This window comes from Homo sapiens, chromosome 2 (assembly GCF_000001405.40).
Source record: "Homo sapiens chromosome 2, GRCh38.p14 Primary Assembly".
Lineage (NCBI taxonomy): Eukaryota > Metazoa > Chordata > Mammalia > Primates > Hominidae > Homo > Homo sapiens.
Genome location: NC_000002.12, coordinates 184487937 through 184507356, shown reverse-complemented (window position 1 = coordinate 184507356; position 19420 = coordinate 184487937).

Here is a 19420-nt window from a genome sequence, read left to right as displayed (position 1 = left end):
GACTGCAACGAAGATAATTCAACATCGGCAATTTTAAATTCATACTGCAGGGAAAAGGAAAGGGGCAAAATTCCTCCTTATGAAAAAAAATCACAATAAATCACACAAAATAAAATTGCTGAGACCTACAGGCATTAGTTGGGTTCAGGTTTGCAATGTCTGTTGTTGTTAACAACAAGTCTTTAACCCCAGGCTAATCAAAGATTAAATAAAATAAACCTTAAAATTTTATTACATATTTCTAATATGTTACATATGCATGTATAATTTCAGGATCATATGAAATTATATTTATAATATATAACTATAATTATATAATTATATTTACACAGTTTTATATATTATATTTATATCATATTTTTATAATTATAAATTTAATTATATAATCATATTTATATTATGCCACCTGCCTTATGAACTACTTAAATGTTATCTTCTACTCAATTAGCTCATCCAGTCATAAACTGGAAGCACCTTAGATGCTAGGAAGTAGGAAATGTACTAAATGGAGGTTAGGTGTGAAGAATAGTACTGCCATTTCTTCTTGCCTTACATTTCAAAGCCCTTTATTTGAAAATAATTAAATAATAAAATTTCAATTTCTCAATTGAACATTATGTATACTATTAAGATATTTTCACTCAGTGGGAATTTTTGCTTCCTTCCTTTTTCTTTCCTTTTGTTCTTTCTTTTTTTCTTTCTTATTTACATAATAAGGGAAGAAAGGACAGTGTAGAAATAAGAAGCTAAGTGGAAGATGCTATTGCTTCTGAGAAACTTACATGTATCACAAGAGATCCCTGCAGATGGAATTAATGCCAGACTGAGGTGGAGCCAGTAAAGTTGCATTTGGACTACACAGAGGGCCCAAAGAGACTATAACCTTTACTGGAATTAAATGTGGCCTTTAACAGGTTAGTACTTATTAAAAGGATGTGGCCTCATTAGGAAATAGTTGAACTTTTATAATTGAATACAGTTGAAATCTAGCTCTGATTTTATGAAAAAATACTTTTAGAATTATGGTGTTGGTTGCATATTTTAATAAGAAACTTGATTTGCATCTTCGTAAAACATGGAAATTCCACGAACGTTATAATGTTTTATATATCCAAGGGTGGACTGGAAAAGCTGGGATAGTAGAGGGTGAAACTAGATAAGAATAAGGTTGAGAACAGGAAAAGGAGAGAAAATGAGCATGAAATAATAAAATAATACAATTTTTTAATAAGTGCCTCCAAATTGTTTGGTCACCTTTTAAAGAATGTCCAAACAAAAAATTATCTCAGAATCTTTCTATGTTGACTGCTTTGCTTCACAGAGCACTAGCACTCAATATTTATTCTCCAAAACTCACTTCTCAAGTTTAACATAATTTACAAATGCGAAATTTCATAGCTTTCAAAGTCTATCACTATTGTCATTCACAGGAATTTCCCGGTTGTGATTCTCTCCTTAGAAATCAGTCTTCCACCACGGCTGAAAGAATATATTTTCTCCACAAATTGCAAGTCTATTTTTTTTTCTCCTTCTTCACTCAAGTTCAGAGTTTTAGAACCTGGTCTCTCTTCCACTATTAGTGGGAAAAAGGTATTTTTACAATATAATGATCTTCGTAGATTTGCATGTCACCCTCAATAGTGATAGCATATTACATTATTAAACATATAAATTTAACAACTAGGACTGCAAACATCTAAGTACATATAATTGTTGTTTAATTGGTTAATTTTCCAGGTTCAGGATTTGCCAAAGATTAATGAGTAGAACCCAGGCTTATATTTACAAAGCTAAAACGGTTCACAGATATATAGGTGCGGTTCCTCTTGTCAGGACAAATTTTAAGTGTCCACTATAGAATATATTATATATATTTCACTATAATAATATTGTATGTAATGCTATACTATATATAGTATATATACACACATGCACAAATACAATCTCCATAGACATTATTCTAATTAACACTATTCCTGATAAATAGGGTAAATCATTTTATAGACAATTTCAAATAGGTGGTCAACATGTTAAAAAAAATAAAAGAAATAAAAAACAGTGGTAAGGCAATACGTTTAAAAGAGCATAATATGTTATAATCAGTCACAAAACATATTTTAAAAATCAATATGGTCTGTGGTGACTCCCCTAAAATTCACCGAAAGCAACTGAAAAGGAATAAAATTAGTAAAAACAGAAGAAATAAAAAGACTGCATTTTGAGAAAGACCACATGTGTTCTAAGTTTATGTGCCTATGTCTAGTTAAAATGGGTAATAATGAGATTAAGATTAAAAAAAAAATTCAACCTCACATGAAATGATTCAATCTTCTTCTCTTTATTTATTTTTTTAAAAAACTTTGCCACTACATTTTCCAAAAGCAAGAAGGAAATTTAATCTCTAGTGTGTGGCTCTGGGTAGAACCAACAGCTTCTAGTCCTGAGGTCAGAAGTAGGAGCCATATGGATAGGGAGTGGTGGGGACATTCTATACTTGGACTTTGCCTAGAGGCATTCTTAGTCTCAGGTGTGAAGATTTCCTCTTCAGTTTGTCTAGTTCTCCACAGGTTCTATGAATTGGACTACTTGCATTCCCTCTTGATGTAGTTCCCATTTTCTGAATTGCTTTTTCTACTGTCTATCCTCTTCCTATTTAATCCCTTATATTTGTCTATCTTCCAAACTAGATAATGCCATTGATTTTAAGGTTATATATATTTTTATTACATGCATGAATTGCTGGAATAGTACTTTTCTCCAATTCAAAAGTAAACTCCTTGAGACCAGGTAGTATGTTGGCTTTGTTCTCAATTGTATCCTTCACAGATAACATATAGAAGTTCACTAGCATGTAAGACACTTAGTTAATATTTGTTGAAAGGATAAATGAAACCACTCTAGTGGTTAGGGCTTCAGAGTAAATTACTGAATACTCAAGATTTACAAGTCAGGTGGAGAAACAGATACCCAGGAAAGAATAGAGATAATTGATTTTCCATCATTCCATCTTCAGCTTGAGAATCCACCTAAAATGAAAGAGAAACTCAATTGCAACAGAATGGTGTATGAATTCAGTCTAATTAAATGTTTTGTAAGACAGAAGTCATCAGAAAAGCATTTGATATGTGGTTAAAAATCAAAGGCTCATGGCTAATTGTTCAAAGGCTTAGGGAATCTGAGGAAGCTAAATATTGCCATTCTAAGTATGCTTTCTCTAGATGTCTCTTCATTTTACTTAAAACGTAAAAAGGAAATCAGGAACTGATACACGGTAGTGATTCCTTGAAGAAAATCAATTAAAAATACATTTGTTAAAGTAAATTTTAAAATAAATGTATTAAATTCTAACAGGCTTAAGTACTCTGGTAGCATGGTAGCATTTTGATAAATAACTGACTTCCCATTTTCCTTATTCAGAGGACAAAAATCCTGAGACTTTGCTGAAGTTGCTTATCAGCTTAAGGAGGTTTTGGGCTGAGACAATGGGGTTTTCTAAATATACAATCATGTCATCTGCAAACAGGGACAATTGGACTTCCTCTTTTCCTAATTGAATACCCTTTATTTCCTTCTCCTGCCTGATTGCCCTGGCCAGAACTTCCAACACTGTGTTGAATAGGAGTGGTGAAACAGGGCATCCCTGTCTTGTGCCAGTTTTCAAAGGGAATTCTTCCAGTTTTTGCCCATTCAGTCTGATATTGGCTGTGGGTGTGTCATAAATAGCTTTTATTATTTTGAGATACGTCCCATCAATACCTAGTTTATTGAGAGATTTTAGCATGAAGTGCTGTTGAAATTTGTCAAAGGCCTTTTCTGCATGTATTGAAGATAATCATATGGTTTTTGTCTGTGGTTCTGTTTATGTGATGGATTACATTTATTAATTTGCGTATGTTGAACCAGCCTTGCATCCCAGGGATGAAGCCAACTTGATCGTGGTGGATAAGCTTTTGGATGTGCTGCTGGATTCTATGAGATGAAAGTTTTTAGCTTCTGCATATAAATGAAAACATGCAGTGTTTAACTTTCTGTTCCTAGCTTATTTCACTTAACATATTGTCCCCAGTTCCATCTATGTGGCTATGGACGACAGAATTTCCGTTTTTATTACGGCTGAATAGTCTCAGGATACAAAATCAATGTGCAAAAATCACAATCATTCCTATACACCAATAACGGACAAACAGAGAGCCAAATCATGAGTGAACTCCAATTCACAATTTCTTCAAAGAGAATAAAATACCTAGGAATCCAACTTACAAGGAATGTGAAGGACCTTCTCAAGTAGAACTCAAGCCACTGCTAACCGAAATAAAAGAGGACACAAACAAATGGAAGAATATTCCATGCTCAGGTGTAGGAAGAATCAATATCATGAAAATGGCCATACTGCCCAAGGTAATTTATGGATTCAATGCCATCCCCATCAAGCTACCAATGACTTTTTTCACAGAATTGGAAAAAACTACTTTAAAGTTCATATGGAACCAAAAAAGAGCCCACATTGCCAAGACAATCCTAAGCCAAAAGAACAAAGCTGGAGGAATCATGCTACCTGACTTCAAACTATGCTACAAGGCTATAGTAACCATAATAGCATGGTACTGGTACCAAAACAGAGATGTAGACCAATGGAACAGAACAAAGCCCTCAGAAATAATACCACACATCTACAACCATCTGATCTTTGACAAACCTGACAAAAACAAGAAATGGGGAAAGGATTCCCTATTTAATAAATGGTGCTGGGAAAACTGGCTAGCCATATGTAGAAAGCTGAAATCTTTCGCCATCAAAAAGTGGGCAAAGGATATGAACAGACACTTCTCAAAAGAAGACATTTATGCAGCCAAGAGACACCAAAAAAATGCTCATCATCACTAGTCATCAGAGAAATGCAAATCAAAACCACAATGAAATACCATCTCACACCAGTTAGAATGGCAATCATTAAAAAGTAAGGAAACAACAGGTGCTGAAGAGGATGTGGAGAAATGGGAATGCTTTTACTCTGTTGGTGGGAGTGTAAACCAGTTCAATCATTGTGGAAGATAGTGTGGTGATTCCTCAAGGATCTAGAACTAGAAATACCATTTGACCCAGCGATCCCATTAGTGTGTATATACCCAAATGATTATAAATCATGCTACTGTAAAGACACATGCATACATATGTTTATTGTGGCACTATTCACAATAGCAAAGACTTGGAACCAACCCAAATGTCCATCAGTGATAGACTGGATTAAGAAAATGTGGCACATATACACCATGGAATACTATGCAGCCATAAAAATGATGAGTTCATGTCCTTTGTAGGGACATAGATGAAGCTGGAAACCATCTTTCTGAGCAAACTATCGCAAGGACAGAAAACCAAACACTGCATGTTCTCACTCATAGGTGGGAACCGAACAATGAGAACACTTGGACACAGGGCAGGGAACATCACACACCGGGGCCTGTCGTGGGGTGGGGGGAGGGGGAAGGGATAGAATTAGGAGAAATACCTAATGTAAATGACGAGTTACTGGGTGCGGCACACCAACATGGCGCATGTATACATGTGTAACAAACCTGCACGTTGTGCACATATACCCTAGAACTTAAAGTATAATTAGAAAAAGAGGGGAAAAAAACTAAATTATCTACCTAAAAAGGCAAAAATTATATGATTTGGAAAATTTTCTATATATCTCTTGCTTACAAGAGACACATGGCACATACATAGTAAAAAATATTAAAAACAAAATGGTGGAAGAAGATGTACAAGGCTAATATTAATCAGCAATATCCAGTAGCTATATTGATATCAGCCAAAATAGACTTTTGGGAAAATCAAATTTTAGGACAATATTATTAAATATGACTAGATATTTCCTAAAAAATAACATATGAAAAATCAACCCACATGTGAAAAGAAGTTAGAAATTAGAGAAACTAAATTAAAACCGCAGTGCAATAAGTGCTTAACAAACCCACTTTTTCACATCAATCTAGAAAAACAATACAAATATTCGTGAGGATGCAGAGTAGTAGAGTTCTGGTGGGAAAACAGCTTGATACCACTACTTTGGAAAACAATGGGGAATTATCTAAGAAAGTAGAAAGTTAACATAACCCATACCTCATCAATTCTATTCGTTTTATTCTAGAGAAATCCACACACTTTTTCAATACAAGACATGTAAAGACCATAGCCTGTGTTCATAATAGCAACAACTTTTAAGCACTCAAATACCCAACTGTCCATTGAGAGGAGAATATATAAATACACTATGATGTTTCCATACTATGGAATACCTTGCAGCAGTGAAAATAAATACAAAGAAAATAATAAGCATCACCTTGGCTGGCATAGACATGTAAAAATTATTCTAATAGAAATTTGTGAAATACTATATTATACCACATGTATGATAAGAAATTAAAAAGAGAATAATGTATTTGTGAAAGTGTGACAAAATTTTGAATAAAGGAAAGGTATAATAAACAGAAAATTTATATTGGTTGCAGAAGGAGAGGAGAGAAGAATGAAAATGAAGATTGACAAATGGTAAATATTGTAAATTGAGATATAGTATTTATAATGTTCACTTTCTCATGTCAGGTGTTAGTTTTGTTATTCTTTAGATCATACATGTATTTATATGCTCTTTTGTGTATTCAATATAATACATAATATTTTACAAATAATTAATATATACATAAAGAATGCATAATTAAATAATTAAAAGAATAAACTCAGAGTATTGATGGCAGAACGTGTTTCAGATTCTGTCATCAAGACAGCTAACACTATATATTTCTCCAGTATGAGATTCAGGAACAGAATTTGACTTCAAAGTCCTTTTTCAATGGGTACCTTCCCATTGAACTTGATAGCCAGACTTGATAGCCAGGACTTGATAGCCAGAATGTCTCTCCAATACAAATTTCTGCTCTTAATAAGATATCAATACATTTTTCTCCAACAGAATTTTTGGGGGTGCCACCTTTCTTAGAACCTAATTATTCTCTTCATATTGACTATTGTGTTCCTTGTCTTGAAAAGTTAAGCTGAAGTCTTACAGATGAAAAATATTAACAGCAACAAAGCAAACTTGAAATTATAACTTTGAATATCTATGACAGAAAGGCACGTTAAGAATATACAGAAACGTAAAACCTTCTTGGGAAACACTGCTTTTGACAATTCAAGTGAGGAATTATCTGGCAAAATAAAATTTTAAAGTGACATTTTAAAGGAGTTCTCCTCATAGAACTTTGCTTCTCTTTTACAGCTGGTTAATTGTAGCTTTGATGGACAGTTTGGCATTTAGAATTGAAGGTAGGTTAGTTCATGAAATCAATTACATCCACAGCCGTGTTTTTAATGTACAATTTTACTCTGGTAAGTGTGTTATGGAAAGCATGTGGGCCTCCGTGTCTATTATACACAGTTACTGCTAAGAATGCAGGGACTCAATGAGATATTTTCTCTTTTACACACTTAGGAAATATACATAATGCAGTACTAATTTCCTTTGTTTTCAACACAATTTTCAAACTTAACTATGTTGATATCAAATAAGCTACTAAACTGACACATTATGAGTTTAATTTTGTATTAACTGAGTGTTTAAAACATGATTACATTGAAAAAATTGACAATTTTGAAGATTTTTAGATAAAATAGTTTGTCAGGAATGCTTATATATATTTATTTTTCTGTGTATAATACTGGGAACTAATCTTATTCTTTTGCTTCTGTTACATACTCAATAAAGATTTATTAGATTACCTTAAAATGACAAAAATAAAATTACGTACTATGTATCTACATATTACTCACAGTAATATCTACTTACTTACCCATAGTACAGATATGCTTTAGTTTGAATATTATACTAATACAAAAATAAAAGTCATAATTTATTTGTTAATTCAAATATGTGAAGAATTGGAGGAAAGAAGAAAATTGAAACCATTATTGTATTGATATGAACCTAAATACCTGTTTCCTTTGACATTTACACATTAAGCATTTAATGTATCAGTTGCTATGAAAATTACAGCAATTGATAATACATAGCCCTTGGCCTTAATATACTTTCTAATGTGAGCCAGAAAAGAAAATGAAAATAAATAAATAAATATATAAAATAAACAGAAGGAACTATATCAACATTGTTTGAAGTAATAAATCGAATGTGGTAAGACCTGTGGTTATCTGATTTCAGTTGAGTGGAAATCAGGGCTGTACAAAACTGTTGAAGACTATAAATTCAAGTACAACATCTTACGCAATTATCCATGTGCATTAAAGCACCACTATAATAGTGCTACTGGTTTGTTTAAAATAAACATTTGTGACTATATTTTGGTGAATATATTTGAACAGATTTGTAAAATATGAAGTGTACAAATAAACACATACAATTAAACATAATTGCAACACCACAAACATTTATTTTTTTTATTTTTAGATATAATATTTATTTACTCTTTGAATTTTTCCAGCAGAAGTCATTTTATTTTATTAATTTTTAAATTTATTATTTTTTTAATTATTATTATACTTTAAGGTTTAGGGTACATGTGCACAATGTGCAGTTTAGTTACATATGTATACATGTGCCATGCTGGTGTGCTGCACCCATTAACTCATCATTTAGCATTAGGTATATCTCCTAATGCTATTCCTCCCCCCTCCCCCCACCCCACAACAGTCCCCAGAGAGTGATGTTCCCCTTCCTGTGTCCATGTGTTCTCATTGTTCAGTTCCCATCTATGAGTGAGAACATGTGGTGTTTGGTTTTTTTGTCCTTGCGATAGTTTACTGAGAATGATGATTTCCAGTTTCATCCATGTCCCTACAAAGGACATGAACTCATCATTTTTTATGGCTGCATAGTATTCCATGGTGTATATGTGCCACATTTTCTTAATCCAGTCTATCGTTGTTGGACATTTGGGTTGGTTCCAAGTCTTTGTTATTGTGAATAGTGCCACAACAAACATACGTGTGCATGTGTCTTTATAGCAGCATGATTTATAGTCCTTTGGGTATATACCCAGTAATGGGATGGCTGGGTCAAATGGTATTTCTAGTTCTAGATCCCTGAGGAATCGCCACACTGACTTCCACAGTGGTTGAACTAGTTTACAGTCCCACCAACAGTGTAAAAGTGTTCCTATTTCTCCACATCCTCTCCAGCACCTGTTGTTTCCTGACTTTTTAATGATTGCCGTTCTAACTGGTGTGAGATGATATCTCATTGTGTTTTTGATTTGCATTTCTCTGATGGCCAGTGATGATGAGCATTTTTTCATGTGTCTTTTGCTGCATAAATGTCTTCTTTTGAGAAGTGTCTGTTCATATCCTTTGCCCACTTTTTGATGGGGTTGTTTGTTTTTTTCTTGTAAATTTGTTTGAGTTCATTGTAGATTCTGGATATTAGCCCTTTGTCAGATGAGTAGGTTGCGAAAATTTTCTCCCATTTTGTAGGTTGCCTGTTCACTCTGATGGTAGTTTATTTTGCTGTGCAGAAGCTCTTTAGTTTTATTAGATCCCATTTGTCAATTTTGGCTTTTGTTGCCATTGTTTTTACACCACAAACATTTAACATTACACTGTCTTTATTAGAGGTCTTCCTCTGATGCCTATAGGCCTTTTTACCATTACTATACGCAGTTTTGTGTCTAAAACTTCCTCTTGTTATTAAATTTTTAAAATGTCTTCTTATGCAGTGTAGTATTTTTACACATGCCTTATGTGCTAGAGTGAAGAGAGAATCTGGTAAAGTCTAAATACATAGCTTTCTTCACATGCACATGCATGTGTTTATATATGGGGGGATATATACATGTGCACAGGCATACATACATGACTACATTATATATGTGTTTCTATATATCCATAAATACATATTTAAAAACATTTACCAGAACCTAGGCTTTTCTATACATAACATTATGTCACCTTCAAACACAGCCCATTTGACTTCCTCCCTTCCCATTTGGATGCCCTTTATTTCTTTCTCTTGCCTAATTGTTCTGGCTAGGACTTCATTGCTGTGTTGATTAAGAGTAGCGAGAGTGGGCACCCTTGTCTTGTCTCAGTTCTTAGATGAAAAGCTTTCAGCTTTTCCCCATTCAGTGTGATATGAGTTGTGGGTTTGTCATATATGGCCTTTATTGTGTTGAAGTACTTTCTATTCCTACCTAATTTATTGAGAGTTTTTATCATAAAGGGATGTTGAATTTTATCAAATGCTTTTTTCTGCATCTACTAAGATTATCATATTACATTTTGTCCTTAATTCTCTTGAAGTGATGTATCATGTTTATTAATTTGCCCATGTTAAAGCATTCTTGCTTTCTTGAGTTAAATCTCACTTGGTCATGATGTGTTATTTTTGATCTATTGTTTTATTCAGTTTACTAGTATTTTGTTAGGGATATTTGCATCTATGTTCATCAGGGATATTGGCCTGTAGTTTCATTTTTATGTTAGTTCCTTGTCTTGTTTTGGTATCAAGGTTTGCTAGCCTCGTAGATAAGTTAGGAAGAGCTCCCTCTACTTCAAATTTTTTGAATAATTTGAGAAGAATTTGTATTAAGTACTTTTTAATGATTCAGTAGAATCCAGCAGTAAAGCCATCCAGTCCTGCAATTTTCCTTCTTTTCTTTTATTCTTCACCTTTTATTTTAAGTTCAGGGGTACATGTGCAGAATGTGTAGGTTTGTTACATACGCAAATGTGTGCCATGGTGGTTTGCTGCACAGGTCATCCCATTATCCATGTATTAAGCCCAGCATCCATTAGCTATTCTTCCTTATGCTCTCCCTCCCCCAGCCCCTAACAGACCCCAGTGTGTGTTGTTCCCCCCATGTGTCCACGTGTTCTCTTTATTCAGCTCCCACTTATAAATGAGACTATGAGGTGTTTGGTTTTCTGTTCTTGTGTTAGTTTTCTCAGGATAATGGCATCCAACTCCATCCATGTCCCTGCGAAGGACATGATCTCATTACCTTCACAGTGTTTATGTACCACATTTTCTCTATCCATTCTATCATTGATGAGCATTTGGGTTGATTCCATGTCTTGCTATTGTGAATAGTGCTGCAGGGAAAATACATGTGCTTGTTTCTTTACAATAGAATGATTTATATACCTTTGGGTATATACCCAGTAATGGGGTTGCTGGGTCAAATGGTAATTTTGGTCTTATATCTTTATGAATCACCACTCTCTTCCACAATGGTTGAACTAATTTACACTCCCACCAACACTGTAAATGTGTTCCGTTTTCTCTGCAACCTTGCCAGCATCTGTTGTTTCCTGACTTTTTAATAATTGTCATTCTGACTGGCATGAGATGGTATCTCATTGTGGGTTTGATTTGCATTTCTCTAATGATCAGTGATGTTGAGCTTTTTTTCATATGTTTGTTGGCCACATGAATGTTTTCTTTTGAGAATTGTCTGTTTATGGCCTTTGCCTTCGGGTTGTTTGTTTTTTCCTTGTACATTTGTTTAAGTTCCTTGTAGACGCTGGATACTAGATCTTTGTCAGATGGATAGATTGCAAAAATTGTCTCCCACTCAGTAAGTTGTCTGTTCACTCTGGTGATAGTTCATTTTGCTGTGCAGAAGCTCTTTAGTTTAATTAGATCCCATTTCACAAGTTTTTCCTTTGTTGCAATTGCTTTTGATGTTTTCCTCATGAAATCTTTGCGCATGCCTATGTCCTGAAACGTATTGCCTAGATTTTTTTCTAGGGTATTTATAGTTTTGAGTTTTACATTTAAGTCTTTAATCTATCTAGAGTTAATTTTTGTATATGGTGTAAGAACCAGCTTAAATTTTCTGCATATGATTAGCAAGTTGTCCCAGCACCATTTATTAAATAGGAAATCCTTTCCCTATTGCTTGTTTTTGTCAGGTTTGTTGCAGATCAGATGGCCGTAGGTGTGCAGTCTTATTTCTGAGTTCTCTATTCTGTTCCATTGGTCTATGTGTCTGTTTTTGTACCAGTACCACGCTGTTTTGGTTACTGTAGCCTTGTGGTATAGTTTGAATTGGGGTAGTGTAATGCCTCTAGCTTTGTTCTTTTTACTTAGGTTTGTCTTGGCTATTTGGGCTGGTTTTTGTTTGTTTGCTTGTTTGTTTCATATGAATTTATTTATTTTTCTAATTCTGTGAAGAATGTCAATGATAGTTTAATGGGAATAGCATTGAATCTATAAATTACTTTGGGCAGTATGGCCATTTTCATGATATTGATTCTTCCTGTCCATGAGCATGAACAGTCCCGCAATTTTCTTTGTTGAGACACTTTGTATTACTAATTCAGTCTTATTACTTGTTATGGGTCTCTTTATGTTTTCTACTTCTTCTTGGTTAAATCTTGGTAGATTGTATGTGTACAGGAATTTATTTCCTCTAGGTTTTCAAATTTATTTGTGTATGTTGTTCATGGTAGTAATTCTTGTGGTATCTGTTGTGACACCTTTTTTTTCATTTCTCATTTTAATTATTTGAGTTTTTTCTTTTTTTCTTAGCTAGTCTTAAGAAACTATTTGTCAATATTATCTTTAAAAAAACAACTTTTTTGTTCTGTTAATTTTCTGTACATTTTTAGTCTCAATTTCATTTATTTCTGCTCTGATCTTATTTCTTTCCTCCTACTAATTTTGTGTTTGGTTTGTTTTTGCTGTTCTAGTTCTTTAAGATGTATTGTTATGCTGTGTATTTGAAATTTTTCTAGTTTTTTGACATAGGGGAAATGCTTTAGGACATTGCTCAGGGAAAAGGTTTTATAAAAAAGACCTCAAAAACACAGTCAACAAAAGCAAAAAAACCCAAAAGGGATTAGATAAAACTAAAAAGCTTCTGCACAGCAACAGGAACAATCACCAGAAAGAAAAGGCAACCTACAAAATGGGAGAAAATATTTGCAAACTGTTTATCCAACAGGGGATTAATATCCAGACTACACAAGAAATTCAAACATCTCAACAGCAAAAATCAAATAATTCAATTAAAAATGGACAAATAATTTGAACAGACACATCAAAAGAAGACATAGAAATGCCCCCAAAATATATATTTTTTAAATGCTCAACATCACTAATCATCAGGAAAATGCAAATCAAAATTACAATGAGGTATCATCTCATCCCAATTAAGATAGATATTGTAAAATAAGGACAAAAAATACTAAATGCCAGCAAGGATTCAGAGAAAAGAAAACTCTTATACATTGTTGGTGTGAATGTAAACCAGCACAGCAGCTATGGAGAACAGTATGGAGGTTCCTTATAAAACTATAAATGCAACTATCATATGATTCAGCAATCCCACTACTGAGTATTTATCCAGAGAAAAAGAAATCAGTATTGAAGAGGCATCTTAACCTCCATGTTTATTGCATTGGTATTCACTATAGCCAAGATATGAAATTAACATAAATGTCCAACAAAAGATAAATGGATGAAGTATATGTGGTATGTATATGTACTTTATACTCATATTGTTATGAGTATGTACATTACACTCATTCATAAAAAATAATGAAAATAATCAAATCTTGTCATTTGTGGCAAGTAGGTGGAACTAGAGGTCCTCATGTTAAATGAAATAAGTGAGGAGAAGAGAGTTAAATATTGCAGATTCACTCAGATACAGAAGCTAAAAATAGTTGATCTCATAGAAGTAAAAATTTGAACAGAGGATACTAGAGGCTGGGAAGGGTAGGGAGAAGGAGAAAATACAGATTTGCTAAAGGATACAAAATTACAGTTAAATAGGAGGAATAATTTTTAATGTTCTAAAGAATTGTAGGATAACTATGGTTCACAATAACATATCGCATACTTTCCAATACCTAGGAGGATATTGAATATGCCCAACGCAAAGAAATGATAAATGTTTAAGATGATTAATATGCAAATTATCCTGACCTGATCACTATATATTATATGTATCAAAGTATTACTGTGTACTCTATAAGCACATATAATTATTATATGTAAACTAAACAAATGAAAGAAAAAATAGTGTCAGAGTTCTTAATACACATGTATATGGTGTGGAAGACAGGAATAGAAACAAGAAGTACTGAGGGGTTCTAAGTGTTTCCCTATCTTTTGTTTTGTTTTGTTTTGTTTTTGTTTTTGAGACAAAGTCTTGCTGTGTCACCCAGCCTGGAGTGCAATGGTGCAATCTCGGCTCACTGCAATCCCCGCCTTCCAGGTTCAAGCATTTCTCCTGCCTCAGCCTCCCGAATAGCTGGGATTATAGGCTCCCCCCATCATGCCCAGCTAATTTTTATATTTTTAGTAGAGAGAGAGTTTCACCATGTTGGCAAGGCTGGTCTCGAGCTCCTGACCTTAGGTGATCAGCCCGCCTCTACCTCCCAAAGTGCTGGGATTATAGGCATGAGCCACCATGCCTGGCCTGTTTCTCTATCTTTTTAGGATCATCATCTTATTCTAATTGAGTGGGAAGGAAATGAACTGGAGAATCTAATAAAGGGGTTTGTAACACATACTAAATTGATAAGAGAAATTTCCTTAAGATCCAGTGTTTAATTAAATTGAAAAATTCAGCCAAATTGACAATTTTTTGATTCTTTTTTTCTTGTGTAGAACAATGTATTTTCCTTTGGATATATGCCCAGTAATGGAATTGCTTGGTCGAATGGTAGTTCTATTTTCAGATTTTTGAGAAATCTCCAAACTGCTTTCCATAGAGGCTGAACTAATTTACATTCCTATCAAAAGTGTGTAAGTGTTCAGGAAGGTAAATTTTTTCACTTTTATTTTATGTTCAGGGATACATGAAAGTCGCAGGTTTGTGATATAGATGAATTGTGTGTCACAGGGGTTTGGTGTAAAGATTATTTCACCCAAGTAATAAGCATAGTTTGCATGCAGAAGCTCTTTAGTTTTTTGTTTCTCACCAACCTCCTTCCCTCCACCCTTAAGTAGGACCTGGTGTCTGTGGTTCCCTTCTGTGTGTCTATATGTACTAAATGTTTGGCTTCCACTTATAAGTGAGAACATATAGTATTGGATTTTCTGCCCCTATGTTAGTTCACTTACAATAATGACCTCTAGCTCCATCTACGTTACTGCAAAGGACATGATCTTGTTCTTGTTCTTTTATGGCTGTGCAGTATTCCATGATGTGTATGTATACATTTTCTTTATCCAGTCTAATGTTGTTTGGCATTTAGTTTGATTCCATGTATTTGCTATTGTGAATAGTGCTGCAGTGAACATATATGTGCACGTCTCTTTATAGTAGAACAATTTATATTCCTGTGGGTATATACCTAATAATGGGATTGCTGGGTCAAAGGGCAATTCCGCTTTGGGTTCTCTGAGAAATCACCGAACTGCTTTCCACAATGGCTGAACTATTTTATGACATCCCCACCAGCAGTGTATAAGCATTTTCTTTCCTCCACAACCTCACCAACATCTGTTATATTTTGACTTTTTAATGATAGCCATTCTGACTGGTGTGAGATGGTATCTCACTGTGGTTTTGATTTGCATTTCTCTAACGATTAGTGATGTTGAGCATTTGTTTTCATATGATTTTTGGCTGCATGTATGTCTTCTTTTGAAAAGTGTATGTTTATGTCCTTTCCCTACTTTTTAATGGGGTTATTTGTTTTGTTTTGTATGTTTGTGTGTGTGTGTGTGCTTGTTGATTTGTTTAAGTTCCTTATGGATTCTGGATATTAGACTTTTGTCAGATGCATAATTTACAAATATTTTCTCCCATTCTGCATGTTGTCTGTTTACTCTGTTGATTGTTTCTTTTGCATCCAGAAGCTCTTTAGTTTAATTACATTTCCATTTGTCAAGCTTTGGTTTTGTTGCAATTGCTTTTGGTGCCTTCGTCATGAAATATTTGACATGTACTATGTCTAGAATGGTATTTCTTATTCAATAAATGATGCAAGGAAACAGGATAGCCATATGGAGAAGATTGATACTGGGTCCATTCCTTATACTATATACACAAATTAGTTCAAGATCATTTAAGTACTTAAATGTAAAACTAAAAATCTTTTAATTCTTTTAAATTTTCAAGACTATATGAATGGACATTTGTAAATGCATATAAAATGTATCCATCTGCAAACATTTTATCCTAAAAATCCCCCAAATTCTTCACCTTAAAGATGAATAAAATGAGATCCAGAGAGTTTAAGTAATTTACAGATGTAAATGTAAAATGTATTTCCTAATAGCCCACGTAGAATAAGGAAGATGTCTTATTCACCTTACATAAAAGATGTGAATGTATTACTATTTTTAAAAAATTTCTGCTGCTTTCATAACAAGTTACCATTAGAGGCTTAAGCAACACAAATACACTATCTTGGAGTTCTATAAGTTGGAATTCTGACATGGGTCTCAGTGAGTTTAAAGTATGAAGTCAGCATGGCTGCATCCCTCACTGAGGAATCTGGAGAAATCCCGCTTCCAGGCTCACTCAGGTTGCTGAGAGGATTCACTTCTATGGGGTTGTGGGAATGAGGTCTCGGTTTCCTATGCCCATTGATGGGGGATTGCCCTCAGTTTCTACAGGCCTCCCACATTTTTTGCTCCATGGTACCCTTCCTCCAAATTTAATACCAGCAGTGTTGATTGGAATCTCTTTCATACCCCCAATCTCTCTGCTCTCCCTCTCTACCCCATCTCTCCTCTCCTTTCCTCCTTTGCTGCATCTCTCCAACTGTGGCATTTATTTTAATGTCTAAAGAAGATATTTTGAGAGAAATGCACATTTTATTACAACTACTCTCTTTTTATTAGAATTATCTCAAAGTATAAGGCAATTTATGATTTAATTCCACCAAATATTTTGGTTTTAAATTTTTCCTTCATTTTGTTGTCCTAAACTAAGTAACACTAAAGTCAATCAAGTAGAATATCAACAAGAACATAGGCTTTTAAACATTGTGTTTTAATTTTCAAGTGTATGAAATCTTGATTTTGTTGTCAAATGCCTCCTAGTATGTACTGTTATTCAAGTATATGGTTTGAAGGTTGGTGCTACTTAACATATGTGTATGGAGAAAAGCTTTGTCTTGGCTTGTGGTGATTTTGGAAAACATAAAAGTTACCTGTTGTAGTGGCTCACATCTGTAATACTAGCACCTTGGAAGGCCAAGGCAGGAGGATCACTTGAGCTCAGGAGTTCAAGACTAGCCTGGGCAACATAGGGAGGCCTTGTTTCTACAAAAAATTTAAAAAATTACCTTGCCGTGCTAGCACACGCCTGTAGTCCCAGCTACTTGGGTGGCAGAGGTGGGAGGATCACTTGAGCCCAGGAGGTCGAGGCTACAGTGAGCTGTGCTCATGCCATTGCACTATAGCCTGGGTGACAGAAAAACCCTGTCTCAAAAAGAAAAAAATGAAAAAAAGAAAATAAAAGAGAAAATTTGATTAAAGTAAAGGCATTACAATATTGATGTTGTTTATAATACTGTCTTTTTACTCTACACAAAATCCCTAGCAGTCTCATCTGTCTCCATGACTTCAATGATAGCATATAGGCCTTAGACATACAAAAATCATAGATTTCTATTTTGTATTCAAAATTCAGCAATAAGCTTTCTAATAGACAATGTCACCTGGGTGCTTCACAGGCACATCATACGTCACCCTCTTGCATCCAACTTTATTAAGAGCTCTGTCATCTGTCTGGTTGTCTAATCCAGGAATTCAGAATTCTTCCTAGATGTTTGCTTCAAACATCTTTTATTTTTCTGTTTATCATGTACATTTCCACACTTAAATTTGACTCTGGAAGGGCTATGAATAAACAGATCCTGTCTTGCCATCATGAGGAGAGTTTGTGGTTAGACCAGGAGTGGGAAAATGTCTCTACTTAATAGAGATATCATAGGATAGAGAATCATAATTTTTACTCTAGAATCACTAGCTGTGAAGTTGGCGTAAATGCTTGATAATAAAACCTAGATTTTAAAAATTGAGCTGAGGAATCTAGAAAGAGAGTCCTACTGATGTGAATTTCACCCTGGCACAAAGTCAAATCCAGCTTTTGGAATTCCCAGTTAGAAGAGTCTGTTAATACATGTTATTTATTAAGCTGGTAGGAATTGGGTTAATGGAACTTGCAACTAAATAATATTTAAATATAGACCTTGTCCAATTAATTATGAATTCCAAATCTTAAATAGCTCTCAAATCCTGGGTCTCTTCTCTGATGGTTTAGCCTCCTTAACCTGCTTATTCCTGTGCCATCCTGTCCTTCCACAGGTACCTCTGCGCACTATCCTCTACGTCGCACATGTCTCTATTGTCTGTAGTGTAAAATCTAAACACTGATGCATGAGACTTACTGTTCTCATAACATTGCCTGCCCATTTGTCAAGACTTTTCCTTTCTACTCAGTCTTCACGTTAAATCATAGTGAAACTAAACTCTTTTCCTTGGCTTTCCATTCATTCATGCTTTTGGAAAAGTGTTTATGCTCTGTTTGTGATGTCTTATGCTCCTGCACATTCATCTAGTGAACAGCTCCCCATCACATAAAAGTCCTCTGGAGAAGATTCTCCTTAATGCCCAGGCAGTCTTACATGCTGTGCAGCTCTGCATGCTCCCACCATACTTTGCATATCTTTCCTTTATAGTAATTGTTTCTATGCCTGTATGATGATTACAAATATGGACTGGGTATGTTTACCCTTTGTATCCTCTGGCATCTAATGTCTGTTTTAAAATAAGCTGAATAAATTAATCAACTATATAAAGGTCTAACTCTCTAATAAAATAACTAGATTCTGAATGAATCATGAAATTAAATTTGAATGCTTATTCGGATAAAGGGGATTTCTGCAAGATTAGGATAGGAGGCAGATTTGGCCTTACAATATTTAATAAAAAAACAGCCTGTGATAACAGATGAAATCCCTGGATTCAAAAGAAAAAAAAAGTGGATTCAAGGTTGAGATTCCCACATTACTCCCTGCTTGACCTTAGGCAATCTTTTAATCTCTCGGAGTATTAATTTTCTAAATGGCAAAAGGAAAAGATTTTTTCCTACTTACAACAGGATTATTGTGATCAAAAGAGATAAATGTGGTGAAGTCACTGAGCACTCTGAAGAGAATTATACAAATATAAGATACTGATCAATTATGAAGATGGAAATTTAATATATCATGAATATATCATACAAAGAAATAGCCTGATGACTTGGATTCCTTAAGAAAAAAATGTGAAAAATATAAATCAAATGCATGAAGTCAGGAAAGAATAGATGTATTCTAACTCCATAGTAATAAAATGGATTTTCCTCAGCATTACATTGGGAAATACAATGAATGTTTTATAAGTCATTTTCTGGAAATCTTACTTGTTAGAAAATTTTTATTTATTATTTCT